Source organism: Homo sapiens, chromosome 3, assembly GCF_000001405.40.
Source record: "Homo sapiens chromosome 3, GRCh38.p14 Primary Assembly".
Taxonomy (NCBI): domain Eukaryota; kingdom Metazoa; phylum Chordata; class Mammalia; order Primates; family Hominidae; genus Homo; species Homo sapiens.
Window position 1 is genome coordinate 149,720,534 of NC_000003.12, and position 16,521 is coordinate 149,737,054.

The 16,521-nt window shown below is 38.9% G+C and overlaps 1 protein-coding gene across 4 annotated transcripts in view; it reads right to left on the reverse strand.

Moving 5' to 3' along the window:
- The window catches only part of WWTR1 (WW domain containing transcription regulator 1), a 207,554-nt gene extending 203,299 nt beyond the window's left edge, over positions 1-4,255 (reverse strand). For all 4 annotated transcript variants that reach the window (NM_001348362.2, XM_047447933.1, XM_047447931.1 and 1 more), the window contains exons 1-2: positions 4,169-4,255; positions 3,547-3,682 (exon numbers count right to left, since the gene is read on the reverse strand). The gene's annotated coding sequence lies outside the window, so the exon portion shown is untranslated. The remainder of the gene's footprint in view (positions 1-3,546; positions 3,683-4,168) is intronic.
- Positions 4,256-16,521: the final 12,266 nt, after the last annotated feature.

Below are 16,521 nucleotides of genomic sequence, written 5' to 3' on the forward strand. Positions count from 1 at the left end.
TTTTAAATCAGTAAGTGTGAGTCCTCCAGCTTTGTTCTTCTCTTTTAGGATTATTTTGACTATTTAGAGTTCCTTGAAATTTCATATGAATATTAAGATTTGTTTTCCTATTTTTGCAAAAAAAAAACCTACTTGTTTGATAGGAACCACACTAAATCTGTAGATCACTTTGGGTAGTGTTGAAATCTTAACAATATTAAGTCTTCCAATCCGTGAACATGAAATAGCTCTCCATTTATTTATGTCTTCTTTAATTTCTCTCAGATATATTTTGTACTTTACAGTACATAGATTTTTTACATCCTTGGTAAAGTTAATTCCTAGGTACTTTATTATTTTTGATGCTATTATAAATGGAATTGTTTTCTTAAGTTTTTTCAGATTGTTTATTGTTTGTGTATATAAATGCGACTGATTTTTGTGTGTTGACTTTGTATCCTGCTATTTTGCTGAATTTATTAATTGTAACTTTTTTGTGTGTGGAATCTTCAGGGTTTTCTACATATGAGATCATGTCATCTGCAAACAGGGATATTTTACTTCTTTTTTTCCATTTTAGATGCCTTTCATTTCTTTTTCTTGTCTCATTGCTATGTCTAGCATTTCCAATGCTATACGGTGAAAGTGGAAATTTTTTTCTTGTTTCTGATCTTAGAGAAAAAGCTTTCAGTCTTTCACCATTAAGTATGATGTTTGCTGTGGGTTATTCACAGACAGCTTTTGTTATGTTGAGTTAGTTTCCTTCTATTCAGAGTTTACTGAGCATTTTTACCATGAAAGGATGTTGAATTTTGTCAAATGCTTTTTCTGCACCACTTGGGATGATCATGTGGCTTTCTCCCTTCATTCTGTTAATGTGGTGTATTACATTGATCAGTTTTCATAGATTGAATCATCCTTGCATTCCAGGAATAAACCTCACTTAGCCATAGCGTATAATCTTTTAAATATGCTGTTGCACTTAGTTTACTCATATTTTGTTCAGAATATTTTTGCATCAATGTTCATAAGGGATATTGGTCTATTAGTTTTCTTTTCTTGTAGAGTCTTTGTCTGGCTTTGGTATCAGGGTAATGCTGGCCTAATAGACTGGGTTAGGGTGTAATCTCTTCAATTTTTTTGGAAAAGTTTGAGAAGGATTGGTGTTAGTTCTTTAAATGTTTGGTATAATTCACTGGTAAAACCATCAGATCCAGGGCTTTTCTTTTCTTTTAAGAGATGGGGTTTCTTATGTTGCCCAGGCTGGTCTTGAACTCCTGGGCTCAAACGATCCTGTCACTGCAGCTTCCTGAGTAGGTGAGACTACAGTTGCATGCCACTGTGCAGGGATTTTATTTCATGGGATATTTTAAATCACTGTCTTTTATAAGAGATTCAACTTTCTTGTTAGCTACAGGTTTATTCAGATTTTCTATTTCTTTGTGGCTTAGTCTTGATAGGTTGTGTGTTTTTAGAAATTTGTCTATTTCATCTAGGTTATCCAATTTGTTGAAGTACAATTGCTCTCTTAAAATCCTTTTTATTTCTGTAGATTTGGTAATAATGTCCCCACTTTAATTTCTGATTTTAATAATTTGAGTCTTCTTTTTCTTTAGTCCATTTAGCTAAAGGCTTGTCAATTTTGTTGATCTTTTGGAAGAACCATCTTCAGATTTCTCTATTATTCTTCTATTATTTTCCTCTATTCTTCTTCTATTCTCTATTTCATTTATCTCTGCTCTAATCTTTATTATTTTATTCCTCCTACTAGCTTTGGGTTTAGTTTCTTTTACTTTTTCTAGTTTCTTAAGTTTTAAGTTTAGGTTGTTGATTTAAGACATTTATTGTTTTTTTAATGTAAGCTATTTAATGTAAATTTTGAATTTATTATAAATATTCCCCTTTGCATTACTTTCTCTGTGTTCCATAAGTTTGGGTATCATGTGTGTTCATTTTCATTTGTCTCTAGGTACATTGTAATTTCCATTATGATTTCTTTTATTAATTTGTTATTTAAGAGTGTGTTGGTTAATTTCCAGAAATTTGTGAATTTTCCAAATACTTAGGGAGTTTTTGATCATCATTTCTTCAAATATTCTCTCTTCCCCTTTCTCTCTCTGTTCACCTTCTGGAATTCCCTCAAGGCATATGTTGATCTGCTTGATGGTACCCTACAGGTCCCTTAGGCTCTGTTCACGTTCCTCCAGTCTTTTTTCTGTTCCTCAGACTTGATAATTTTCATTGTCCTATCAAGTTTGCTGATTCTTCTGCTTGCTCAAATTTGCCTTTGAATTTCTTAAAATTTTCACTTCGACTACTGTAATCTTCAGCTCCAGAATTTATTTTTGCTTTCTTTTTAGGTTTTCTATTTCTTTATTGATATTTACATTTTCTTCACATATTGTTTTATTGACTTTCACCACATCCTCCTTTAGTTCTTTTAGCATCTTTAAGACAGTTGTTTGAAAGTCCTTGTCTATTACAACCATTTTTAGGTCTCTTTTAGGGACAATTTCTTGTTATTTTTTTTCCCCCTTTAACCAAGCCATACATTTCCGTTTCTTTGCATGCCTTGTGAATTTTTTGTTGGAAATTGGATATTTGAATCTAATAATGTGGTAACTCTGAAAATCAGTGTCCTTTCTTTTGGTTTGCTGGTTTTCTTTTCTTTTCTTTTTTTTTTTTTTTTTTTTGAGACAGAGTTTTGCTCCTGTTGCCCAGGCTGGAGTTCAATGGCACGATCTCGGCTCACCACAACCTCTGCCTCCCAGGTTCAAGTGATTCTCCTGCCTCAGCCTCCCAGGTAGCTGGGATTACAGGCATGTGCCACCACACCTGAATAATTTTGTATTTTTAGTAGAGACGGGGTTTCTCCGTGTTGGTCAGGCTGGTCTTAAACTCCCGACCTCAGGTGATCTGCCTGCCTCAGCCTCCCAAAGTGCAGGGATTACAGGTGTGAGCCACCTCACCCAGCTGGTTTGCTGGTTTTCTGTTTTTGTTGTTGTTGTTGTAGGCTGTCTTTGTGGTGTGGATCAGCCAGAAGTATAAAGTTAAGATCCTTTCATATATTTTTTGAGCCTTTGCCTTTCCCTGGGTATACATGATGATTTTCCAACTCCAATCACATACATGTGGTTCATTTTTAATGCTCTAGTCTTCAATATCTAGTTCCTAAAAGGGGGAAAATGTAGGAAGGGAAAAAGGTGTTTGCCCTTTATATTCCCTGAGAGTCATTTCATCCAGAGATGGAGGGACTCGCAACAATGGGGTAAAGTGCAACAACAAAACCTGCTGCTTCTTTGCACCTTTGTGATGAGAAGCAGCAATCAGCAATGAGAGCATAGATCCTAAATATTTGGAGGCCAGGGTCCTTTTCAGCTACCCTAGCTCCCACAGGCTGTGTACAGGTTGCTCCAGGAGCATGTGCACAGCTGCCTGACATGTGGCTGAAGGGTGGTTAGCTGCTACTGTGATTACAGCTGAAATTGATGAAAATTAACCACAATTATTGCTCAAGCCCTGGAAGTTATAAGCCTTCAACAGACTCCACAGTTCCAAAATACTTACATTAGACAGATTCTACTGGTAAAATTATTATCTAGGTGGGAAGATAGGTTCCTCTTTTTCCTCCTCTGCCATCTTCTAGGAATTCTCTCTGGGGCTCCTTATTTTCAAAAACTTTTTATAGTGAAAAATTTCAAACCTAAACAAAAGTAAAGAGAATGATATAATGAATCCCTGTGCACTCATCACACAGCTTCAACAATTACCAACTACCTGCTCCTTCACCTGAATTTCAGCCTGTAATTTCTTGCCCATCTCTTTCCTGACAATTCGTGGCTTCAAATGATGTGATTTTCTGCCTTCTCTCCAGCTCCAAGAATCAATGTGATCCCCCCTAATATTTGACTAAATTAACAGGCTCTCTTTTTAATATTCCTAACTTGAATAATTTTTATACCGTCCACCCTACCCCCCAGACTCCTTAAAAAAAAAAAAAGGCAGTTTTTAATCCTTTCCAATGGTTTGAGAATCTGATGAAAGCCATGGACCATAACCCTAGAAAAAAAGGTGCACACACCATTTTATATGTGATTTCAGAAGGTTCATTGACACCTTGAAACCTTCCAAAGACCCTATGTTAAGAACCCCTTCTAAAAGGTAGATTCTCCCATTTCCTAGGCCATACCTGGTCCTTGTAGCCATGTTTCTCTTTCACATTTACATAGAAATGTAAGACTGGGAGAGCATCCAGTTCCATCACTTTTTTGTTGTTCTGTTGAGGCAATCAGACATGAAGGGCAATTTTATTTGTTTTTGTTCTTTTCATGAAGGCATTTTGAATTAATTGTCCAATTAATTCCAATTCCACATGAAGGAAACATGCCTGTTCCAAATCCTGGAGAGTCAGCAACAGAATCAGAGGTCCTGCCAACATTTTTCATACTAACCTCATGCTACCTCTGAATATTTTTCTGCTCCTTTGAAATGAATTAATGCTAACTCCAAAATATTCTGAAAACCCACTCTAAAAATACCTGCTTCAGCACATTTTCTTCTTTCTCCTCTCTTCTCTTTACTCACACAGCATTGGATTTACATGAAATGCAAGGAAGAAAAGTACTAAGGGAGTCAAAAGACAAATTGGAATGAAGTGAACAATTAATTTAAAACATCCTTTAACAAGTATATTTTAAACTACAAAGGTGTTCGTGATTCCTTGACAGGGTTCAATTTAGGTTTTGCTCTGCTACTTGCTCATTCACGGAAAATCTCTGGGATGGACCCATCAACTAGCATAGAAGGTTGGTTGAGTACTCTAGCACTGTTCCCTGCAACATTCTCCCCAGTTCTTCTAATGCTGAACCTCAGCTCTGGCTCTACATCACAGTCACCTGTGAAGCTTTTAAAGTTGAGAAAAAAGACAGGCTCAGGTGAGCCCAATTCAGGTTTACTTACTTTGGGTCCAGGCTCTAGGTGTGCAGGCCAGGCTCTGGGTGTGCAAGCCAGGGATGAGAACCCTGGTCTAATGCTATATGCAAGGAATTAATATTGTTAGTAATGGTGGAGGCCTGGGAGAATACTAAAATTGTTTTATAGCTTATAGCTCAGCAAGAAAGATATATTTAGTCTTTAAAAAAAAACAGGAAAATTTCAGAAGGAAAATTTTGAAGGAACTTTACACGTAAACCACTGTGGGGTAATATTTTTAAAATGCTATTTTTCTCTACCATTTAATTCCTAATGTGGCATAAACTTTTCGGCTCAGTTGGGATATGCTGACACATTATATGTACACACATTTGTATCTTATTTATTTGTATTATATAAATAATAAATAAACTTTTTTTAATGTATAGAAGAGTACAAAGTAAAAAGTAAAAATCTTGGCCACCCTCCCTGGCCCCATCTCAGAGGAAACCCTATTAAGAATTTCTTATGTATCCTTCTAGAAACTGGCTACCCACATCAAAAGTATATATATAATGTTAATATGTATTTATTACATTTATTTATTAGCTCAGGACTCAAAGGGGCTTGGAAATTATCATGACAGTAGATTTCTTTTACTTTCATCCTACCTATGGTGCAACAGGAAGTCTAGACTTTTACTAGGTTTCCCTCACAAGTAACTTTAGGACTCCTTGAGAACATTTAACTTTCCCACAGGATCATGATGGTTAGCTCCCAGGGGCGAGCCTCCAAGCAAATAACCTCCTGCAACCTCAGGACTGGCTTCTCAGCATATCAGAAGGTTCAGGCCTGATCCTGAACCCTCTCTGCCTAACTCCCATGGCAGGGTCCAGTTCTCCTTCCTCTTACAGGTGGCACCTGAGCCTGTTTTTCTTTTTTTTTTTTTTTTGAGATGGAGTTTCACTCTGGTTGCCCAGGCTGGAGTGCAATGGTGTGATCTCAGCTCACTGCAACCTCCGCCTCTCAGGTTCAAGCGATTCTCCTGTCTCAGCCTCCCGAGTAGCTGGAATTATAGGTATGTGCCACCAAGCCCAGCTAACATTGTATTTTTAGTAGAGATGGGGTTTTTCCATGTTGGTCAGGCTGGTCTCGAACTCCTGACCTCAGGTGATCCTCCTGCCTCAGCCTCCCAAAGTGCTGGGATTAGAGGCGTAAGCAACTGTGCCCGGCCAGGGTTCTTCAGGTTTTTTGTATTAAAATAAATTTTTTTGAGACAGGAGTCTTTCTATGTTGCCCAGGCTAGAGTGCAGTGGCTTTTCTCAGGCCTGATCATAGATCACAACAATCTTGAACTCTTGGGTTCAAGCATTGCTCCTGCTTCAGCCTCTTGAGTAGCAAAAGGATTACTCTGATGTAACGGTATTTGCATGCCATGGCATGCACTTCTGGGTTCTTCAGTTTTAGAATAAAGGTCTCCTTATTCTGTGGTTGTAAGGGCCTCCCATGGCCCAGTATGGGTCATATCCAGCCAAATCCAGGCCAGCTCTCTAAAGTTTAAGGTGATAATCTGGCCTGCACACCTTTCCTGGGGTCTTCAGACTTGCTCTTATTCTCCTATAAACAATCCCTTAATTAACAGCAGATATCACATGCACCTAAGAACAAGTGAAATTGTACTGGGATAGTGCAGCCTAACCACAAGGGAACTGTAATCTGAAAAAATGCAAGTCTTTTACCACAGTGACCATTTTCATATTACCAGTCAGAATAAGATTGCTCTTCAACTAAACCAGCTCCATCTCAGAAATGATGCCTGAGATTTGACTCATAATTACATAGAAGTGGGGCACAGAGCAAAGTGGGTGGGGATTTTGAGGCAACAATATTTGACACTAGTTGATTATCATTGAAACTAAGTGACGTGTACCTGAGAGTTCATTATATTATTCTATGTATTTTTGTATAAGTTTGAGATATTCTACAGTTAAAAACAAAACAACATCTCTGCAAAGGCTTTACTCTTTGGCTGGGCACAGTAGCTCATGCCTGTAATCCCAGTGCTTTGGAAGGCCCAGGTGGGGGGATCACTTGAGACCAGGAGTTCGACAGCAGCCTGGGCAGCATAGCAAGCCCTCATCTCTACAAAAAGTTAAAAAATTAGCCAGGCATGGTGGCACATGCCTGTAGTCCTAGCTTCTCGGGAGGCTGTGGTGGGAGGATCACTTGAGCCATGAGTTTGAGGCTACAGTGAGATATGATCACACCACTGTACTCTAGCCTGGGCAACACAGCATGACCCTGTCTAAAAAAATAAAAAGGCTTTATCCTTGATGTTTGCATCACTAAAAGATTCCTCTTTGTGGTTTTCTGGAATAAAGGAACTTGCAGCCCTGTGGGTGAATTTAGTCTCTACTCTTGTAACAAGCTTCTTTCCTTCCTCCACATGTGATAACTGAGATTTTTAGGGCCAATATTTACTCAAAGTTCACATTCTAGCTACTGAGTTCTTCCTCACAAGCACTCGCTTCAAGGGAACTTCTCATAATCAGCCCTGGGATTACGGCAACCTAAAGGTCTTGTTCTCCTTTCAATGTTTCTACAGATGTGTGCCATCTTGCATTTCTAGATGGTAAATTAAATTCTGCCTATGCTATTTTATGCCTCTTTTTTCTTTTTTAAAAATGATTTTACTAGTACAATTGGAGGAAAAGGAGTCTGGTGAGGGTGGCTTGGAGAATAACTGGTTGGTCACCAGGACGGGATAGCACCTCTGGTTCTAGTGAGATTTATGGAAGGGGCTTTGTTCTGGAATGTGGTACTCAGCTTTATTAACTCAGAAACTTAAATGTTAGCACACACAGACACAATGGGACTCTAAGGGCTGATGAATGCCAATTAATTAACTTGCAATGGGAAACATAACGTAGCAAGCCTCAAATCCAAGTTTGCTGGTTAGCACATTTTCTGTCTATGGGAAACTTAAGAAGCCAAATTATAACCAGAAGGGTAGTTGGTGACAGCCAGTTCTACAACAGTGAGTTTTCAACTAGGGAGGGTTGCCCTTCTCTGGGGGATAGGCAGAAGGAAGGGGACTTTTTTTTTTTTTGAAACAGAGTCTTGCTCTGTCGCCCAGGCTGGAGTGCAGTGGCGCGATCTTGGCTCACTGCAACCTCTGCCTTCCAGGTTTAAGAGATTCTCCTGGGCCGGGCGCGGTGGCTCACGCCTGTAATCCCAGCACTTTGGGAGGCCAAGGCGGGTGGATCATGAGGTCAGGAGATCGAGACCATCCTGGCTAACAAGGTGAAACCCCGTCTCTACTAAAAATACAAAAAATTAGCCGGGCGCGGTGGCGGGCGCCTGTAGTCCCAGCTACTCGGGAGGCTGAGGCAGGAGAATGGCGTGAACCCGGGAAGCGGAGCTTGCAGTGAGCCGAGATTGCGCCACTGCAGTCCGCAGTCCCGCCTGGGCGACAGAGCGAGACTCCGTCTCAAAAAAAAAAAAAAAAAAAAAAAAAAAAGAGATTCTCCTGCCTCAGCCTCCTGAGTAGCTGGGACTACAGGCGCATGCCACACCAGCACACCTGGCTAATTTTTGTGTTTTTAGTAGAGATGGGGTTTCACCATGTTGGTCAGGCTCGTCTCGAACCCCTGACCTCGTGATCTGCCCACCTCAGCCTCCCAAAATGCTGGAATTACAGGTGTGAGCCACCGCACCCAGCCTGGAAGGGGATTTTAGGGGAGTGTGTGTGTGTGTGTGTGTGTGTGTGTGTGTGTGGTATTTTTCTTTTAGCATATATAATTAGAAAAGGCATATCCAATGTTATAATTCAACAATATTTGGGGGGGAAATTTAAAACTCTTGCGTTCATAACAAAAATTGTAAAAAATAAACCTTAACAAAATGTTCCTGGCTGGTGACTCAGCTGGGGGCAGGGGGCAGGGTGGGAATCTACAAATCAAACTCTCTCTGGAGAATCTAAGATTTTTCATTTTTCAAAATGAAGCAAGAAAACATTGTTTACTGAGGCACTAAACAAAAGCCATACGTGGGGCAACTTAAGTTTGCAGGATCCAAATCAATTTTCCGTTCTCAAGTTCTTCTCACTAAACAGTGTTATGATTAATCTAATCATGCTTAGTTTTTTAGTAGTCATTAACTGTGGGAATTGATGTAGAAATCTGGGTTACTTATAAAGTATGTACTTTATAGTACTGTACTATGTACTATAAAGTAGTGCTACAGTTTTGTGACCAAATTCTGCAGCCAGCCAAAACCACTGTATGGGTAAAGCAGACATTGATAGTCTCAGCATTGATTTATCTCCCTTCTTCCTTTCTAAAAGATCCCACTTTCATTTGGGGATTGCTGTGTTTCCTGGGAAGAGGACTCTACTCCTACTATATTCCAACCTCTTAAATGCAGCAATTGGTTGGTAACCTAAACCAGTCCAATCAAAGTGAATCTGAAAGACTTTTCTTATGATGTTAATGACAAAGACGGGCTCATTTTCCTGGTGCCTTTAGTAGCCACCTATGGCCACAAGAAGAGTCTAAATTAGGAGAAAGAAAACGAAGACAGGAAAGCGAAGCAGAGAGATACTGGGGCATTGGGGCCATCTCTAGGCCACTGGATCATGTTTGCCTGAACCAATACTACCTCTGGACTTGACAGTTATTTGTACCAACAAACTCTTTTTTAATTGTTCCAGCTATTTTTAGTTGTAATTGAAAGCACGTGGGTGGATCAGGGTTCTGCTGAATCTGGACTGTTTGATTTTCTTGTTCTTCGACCGGCTTGAATATCAGTCATTGAAGCAAGTCATAGAGAAATGGCTGTAGTAAAACTGTCATGTTCTTAATTTTTGCTGTACATCAGAATCACGTGGAGAGCTTTAACAGATGCCACGCCAGTTAAACCAGAATCTATAAAGTTGGGACTCAGGAATCAGAATTTTAAAAAATTCTCAAGTAATTCCAGTGAGCAGCCTCGGCTGAGAACCACTGGTCTAAGTATCTTGTTCTGTCCATTCAGTGGGGTCTGCAGACAACATGTCCTAAATATGTCTTTCCATTAAAGAAAAAAAAAAAGCTGACATGTAACTTGTGAGGTTAATGCAAACCATACTGATGTGACAGAAAAGCAAAATGTGTGCAAATTTTGTACTCTATTCCATATTATAATCCTTTCTCTCTCGCTCCCTTTCACCCTTCAACATTTAATAGAAACTTACCATGTACCAGACACAGTGACAGATCTGGAATACAGAGGAAAACAAGAAAAACGCAGTTGTTATAGTCCACAAAAAATAGAAAATTAACCTAGTAATTACAGCAAAATCTAATGCACCTATGATAAGGCAGCATGGAGCACTATGTGCACAGAGCACGGACTCCTAACCTCCTGGAGCAAAGGAAGTTTAAGCTGAAACCAGAAGAATGCATGAGTTAACTTGGTAGATGATGGAGGAAGGTCCAGATGGCAGAAGCTTTGAGTTCAATGTCACAGAAGTGAGGGAACTAAAAGAACATAGTAGGGGAGGGGAGAATACTAGAGAAATGAGGCTGGACCTCATCAACATGGTAAAAAACCCCATCTCTACTAAAAATATAAAAATTAGCTGGGCGTGGTGGTGGGTGCCTGTAATCCCAGCTACTCAGGAGACTGAGACAGGAGAATTGCTTGAACCCAAGAGGCAGAGGTTGCAGTGAGCCGAGATCGTGATCGTGCCATTGCACTCCAGCCTGGGGGACAAAGCAAGATTCCATCTCAAAAAAAAAAAAAAAAAAAAAAAAGAAGAAATGAGGCTGGAGATAAAGGCAGGAGCCAGATTATGAAAGACTTTATAGGTCATATTAGAAGTTTGGATCTTATCAAAAAGGCAATGTAAATCAACTGAAGAGTTTTCAGCATTCAAAGAACGTGATTTCTATGTTTGGAAGACAATTGTGACTCGGGGCAAGGAATGGGAATGCATTGTGGGGTATGGGGGGTTTGACAAGAGAAAATCAGGGAGACCAGTTAACTGCAGGCAGATACACTAGCTCTGGCAAGAGATAATGGTGGACCAATGAGCATGGGGGCAATGGATAGAAGTGAACGAATTCAAGATGTATTTAGGAAGGTAGATTTGATAGGACTTGGTAATTGACCAGCTGTGGTTAAGAAGCCAGAGAGAAGCCAAGAGTGACACATGTCTCTGGTTTGAGCGAGTGTTTGGATGGTGATGCCATTTCATGAATAGAAAACACTGGAAGAAGAGTAAGTTTGTAAGAGAGGATGAATTTTGAGTATGAAGTACCTGTTAGACATTAAGTGTAGACATGTGGTAGGTACATGTGTCTCAAATTCAGGAGAGCAATATGGGCTAAACATCTATAGTTGATAGTTATCAGCAAACTGATGTTAATTAAAGCCTAGGGAATAAACCAAATTACCTAGTAAAATGTGTGGAGAAAAATGGCTTAGGATAAAGCTCTGGGGAACACTTATAACTAAGAGGAGCATAGAAAAGAGTCCTGCAAAAAGAGTAATAATGCAGTGCTAGAGATGTAGCATGTAAAACAGAAGAGTGACAAAAAAGAAAATAAGAAAACAAAGGATGGAGATAGGTATATTAAAATGAGGATTGAAAAGTATGCATTAGATTTAGCAACACGGAAGTTCCTGGAAATGTTATCAAGATGGGTTTGGGAAGGCAGGTAAATTTTTTCAAGGAGTTACTGAAATGGAGACAAGAGAGGGTGTATGGTAACTGAACAGGGATGTGGGTCAAGAGATATTGAGATGAAATAGACTTGAAAATGCTTACTTTCTAACATAAGATATCAGGAAGACGAATAAGTAAAAGTCACAAAAGTGTCAGAAAAGAATGGGATCCAGAAATGTGAGGAATGCCTCTTCTACTGGAATGGGAAGAGGAAGAGGACTATTAGTGCAGGGAACAGGGAGAATTGTATATTTGGTGGTCAGAAGAAGGGAGACAATTCCTGTCTGGTCACCTCTCTTTGTTCTGTAAAGAAGGGAGGAGTCAATCTACCAAGAATGAGAGGGGGTGCCGGGTGGATTGGAGGTTTAAGAGGAGTGGAGAAGTTTTGGAATAGCTGTTGAAAATGGGAGACAGCTAACTAGGGAAACAGTAAGACAGCCAGTCAGTGTTAAGGGTTTAATTGAGATTGATGACAACGAATGTATAAACTTGATCATCTGTGTGGTTTTGCTCATGTTCTCCTGTGGAGCTCAGTAGCCCATGCACAGAGTATATTGTACGTACTATCCGCTCATCACTCTTATTTACTCATTCGCTTGTTCATTAATTTAACTACTTTGTGCCAGGTACTATTCTAGGCACTGTTTCATTTGATGATTAATATTTTATCTTCTTTTTCTTTGATACAGGGTCTCACTCTGTCACCCAGGCTGGAATGCAGTGGCACAATCACTGCTTACTGCAGTCTCAACCTCCTGGGCTCAAGAGATCCTCCACCTCAGCCTGCCAAGTAGCTGGTACTACAGGCACATGCCACCACACCTGGCTAATTTTTGATTTTTTGTAGAGATGGGGGCTCACTGTTGCCCAGGCTGGTCTCCAACTCCTGGCCTCAAACAATCCTCCTGCCTCGGCCTCCCAAAGCACTGGGATTACAGGCATGAGCCCTCATGCCCAACTTTTTTTAAAAATCATATTTCTACAAGCAGACCACAATATATTAATACTGAAAGAATTACAGTGAAACCACCAGATTATTGAGTTTTACAGAGACAAGAATTTACAGGTATGATAAAGTACAGAAAGCAAATAATAGGACATTAAAAGAAAAATGCTCTTTAAAGTTGTATATTTTGAATCTTGTCTCCCTAATCACACTGTGAGATCTTAACTATGAGTTTGTTGCAGCCAATGTATGTTTATCCTAAAAAAAAAAGCCTAACTTGTAGATAATGACAATTTGTGGAGCTGTTTTACAAAAATTCCATTTTGTATAATAAAGTATGCAATTTTGCAAAATTAATGTAATTGTATTGTTACACTCTACACCATGTAGGGTTAGACCCTAAAACTGTAACCTAAGCAGAGAATGATTTTTTTGGAAATGCATTAGGTACTCTGCAGAATTAAGGGACAGACCTAAGACCTGGTCCATAAAGGACAGGAACAGGAGCAGATTCACGAGGCTATGTATCAGGCCATCAAACATCTGGCCAGGCCACTAAAATGAATTTGTGTCAACCATTCTCTTTAAGTCTGAGGGTTTCAGAGTTCCAGGAGAGACTTACAGTCTCAGTGTGGATAGCAGGGAGCATGGTCCCATGTCTGACAGTCCCATCTAACTATAGCCAATTGGGAAGAGCATATTTCACAATGTAAATTGGGGTATAATCAAAACAGCAAAATGATCAGTAAAAATAGCACCTTCTTGATGCCCTTAGTGACAACTAATGTCTCCTCTCTTATAAATGCAGAGCTCCTTATTTGTTGTAGCTCTTCATCTGCCTAACACACTCTAACTGAACTGATGATGTTTATGTACCTTTCCATTTCCTCCAGTAGCTTATAAGCTTTGGAAGGCAGTGGCTGAAGCAGCTTCATAATCTGGGGAGCAGTGTCCTAAAGATCTCCCAATGTGGCTATTTCAAAATTTGTTTAGAATATTCTGAGGCATGAACTTATGGAAAAGCAAATGCCCTTTTCTCTATTCCACTATAGACAAAGAAATTTTTAATAGTTTTTACCTTTCTAATTTGAAAAACACAAGATGACTATAGGAAGACATAAATACTCAGTTGCTTTCCTATCTTTTCTAAATCTGCCAAATGCCCACAACATCTCTCACTTTAGTAGAAAATCTATTAAGTTAAAATTTCAAAGGATATACAGTTGTCCCTTGGTATCCACAGGGGATTGGTCCTAAGACTCCTGAGGATACAAAAATCTGTGGATGTTCAAGTCCCTTACATAAAATGGTGTAGTACAGAAAGTCCCCAACTTTTGATTGTTCAACTTGCAATTTTTTGACTTTAGGATGGTGATACACGCATTCAATATGCTCTTTATGACAGGACTACATCTGGATAAACCCATCGTAAACAGAAAATATCGAAAGGTAAATCCATCATAAGACAAGGAGCATCATGTTTGCATATAACCTATGCACATCCTTCCCTATACTTGAAGTCATTTCTAGACTACTTGTAATACCTAATGTAAATGACATGTAAATAGTTGTTATACTACATTTTAAATTTTTTTGTATTATTCTTATTGTTATTTTTGTATTTCTGAATACCTTTGATCTGTGGTTGATCGAATACATAGATGTGGAACCTGAGATATGGAGACTGACTGTAATACTGGTCCAATTTTCTTTAGAGCTGATTTTAGCTAAGTCTCTTCGATAGTTCATCTAACTTCCTAGCTGGTATAACTTTTGAATCAGGCTAAAAATAAAACACAATCCACTGGAAAATAACTCTTCTAATAACTGGCTAAGAAGAAATTGCTCTCAGACTCTTCCAACTTGTATCTGGGAAGATTTTTTTTTTTTTTTTTTAATGGAGTTTTGCTCTTGCTGCCCAGGCTGGAGTGCAATGGCGCGATCTCGGCTCACTGCAATCTCCGCCTCCTGGGTTCAAACAATTCTCCTGCCTCAGCTTCCTGAGTAGCTGGGATTACAGGCGCCCACCACCATGCCCGGCTAATTTTTTGTATCTTCAGTAGGGACAGGGTTTCACTATTTGGCCAGGCTGGTCTTGAACTCCTGGCCTCAAGTGATCCGCCTGCCTCGGCCTTCCTAAGTGCTGGGATTAGAAGTGTGAGCCACCATTCTGGGAAGACAATTCTAAAAAGCCATAATTATAGAAAATATGTTACTAAATCAGTTAGTTCTTTTATGAACATAAAATACACTGCAATGGATTATAATCCACAGTAAGACCAAGAATAAGGCTTGTTAAAATACTGTGAAAAGGAGTATCCATAGAATGGAATATTATTCAGTCATAAAGTGCATGAAATACTGATACATGCTAGAACATGGATGAACCTTGAAAACATTATGTTAAGTGAAAGAAGCCAGACACAAAAGGCCACATATTATATAATTCCACTTATATGAAATATCCAGAATAGGCAAATCTACAGAAAGTAGATTAGTGGTTGCTAGAAGAAGGGAAAATGAAGAGTGATTGCTAATAATTACAGGTTTCTTTTGGGTATGATAAAAATGTTCTGTAATCAGATAGTGGTAATGGTTGCACAATTTTGTGAACATCCTAAAGCCACTGAATTGTACATTTTGAAAGGGTAAATTTTATGTGAATTTTATCTCAATAAAAAATAAATTTTAAAAAGAAAGGGAGGAGGCTTAATGAGAGGTTTGGCATGAAAATAAATTGTTTTAAGGGCCCAAGAAAGGCATGGAATTTAGTATTTATCCCTTGGTAAAAACAAAGAGTAGATGAAACAAGCATAGAAAAGAATACCCAATAATTATATTCTTGAAAGCCTAAACATAAAAAAAAGGTTTTAATTACATTGCTCATACCAAGAGATAAATAATTTTTGCCTTTTTGAAAAGTACATGGGGACTTGCTCATTTTTCCCCCCAAATACTAAAAAAAAAAAAAAATGCCTGTAGCTTTTCTTAAGCTCTTCTTTTAGTCTATGAATTGTGCCAAGTCTCAGCTGCAAATCAAGCCATTTTATTATGGTGCAGCACTTAAACTCACTTGAGCTTTGTAAGAATTTTTTATTTATTTGGAATGAAAGAATATGGTTTTCAGACCATGCCAGGAAATCATATCCTAACCATCTATACTTGCTCCAATGAAACTCAGACTTCCCTGGATTTTCTTTTCCTCATTCTCTGAATTTTAATCTGTGTGCTTTTAGTCTTCGAGTTAACTGAGAAGCCTTTTCGTTCTGTGAACTAAGCACATTCCTTCAAAACCACAGGCATCCACTTCTCATTGGACTTATGACAATCACAACATTGGCACACAGGTAAAAAATAACTTGATTTGCTTTTCCCATCACACCTCTGGTTACCTCAGGGGACCCCACTTCAATGGAAAAAGAGTAAGGATAATTTCTGTCAAAGTATTCCTCAGTATTCTATAATGATTTCACCTTTCCTCTGCACACTTCCACAGCTGTAGCCATTGAATCATGTTAGATTTCTGCCTTCCAGAAGAAGGCAGAGTTTCAAGGAAAAGCAATTCTAGTAGACACCAGACCAGAGGAACTTCCCTTCTTCAGAATAACTCCCTCAGGAGATTCCTTTCTGCAGCCTAATGAGCTTATGGATTAAACTATTTTAGAGGATGGAACAGCCTAAGAGCATTCTAAATTCTGAGACTAGAACTTTATCCTTTGTTCAACACACAATATGGGTCACTCTAAGTACCTACTATTAACAAAACTGAATCTGTACCATGTAAAAAAGCCAGAAAAGATTTCAAAATGTGCTTTGTTATCAATATAATGCCATGCATAAGTGGGTAGTTTATAGCTTAGTGTAACAGAGCAGAGTAAAAAAAATTTTAAAAGTTAAAAGGCCTCATATGGTTGGTGAGATAAGGCACAAATCTTTTTTGTGTTATTTCCCTTTTTGGCTGCTGGGCAGACTCTTC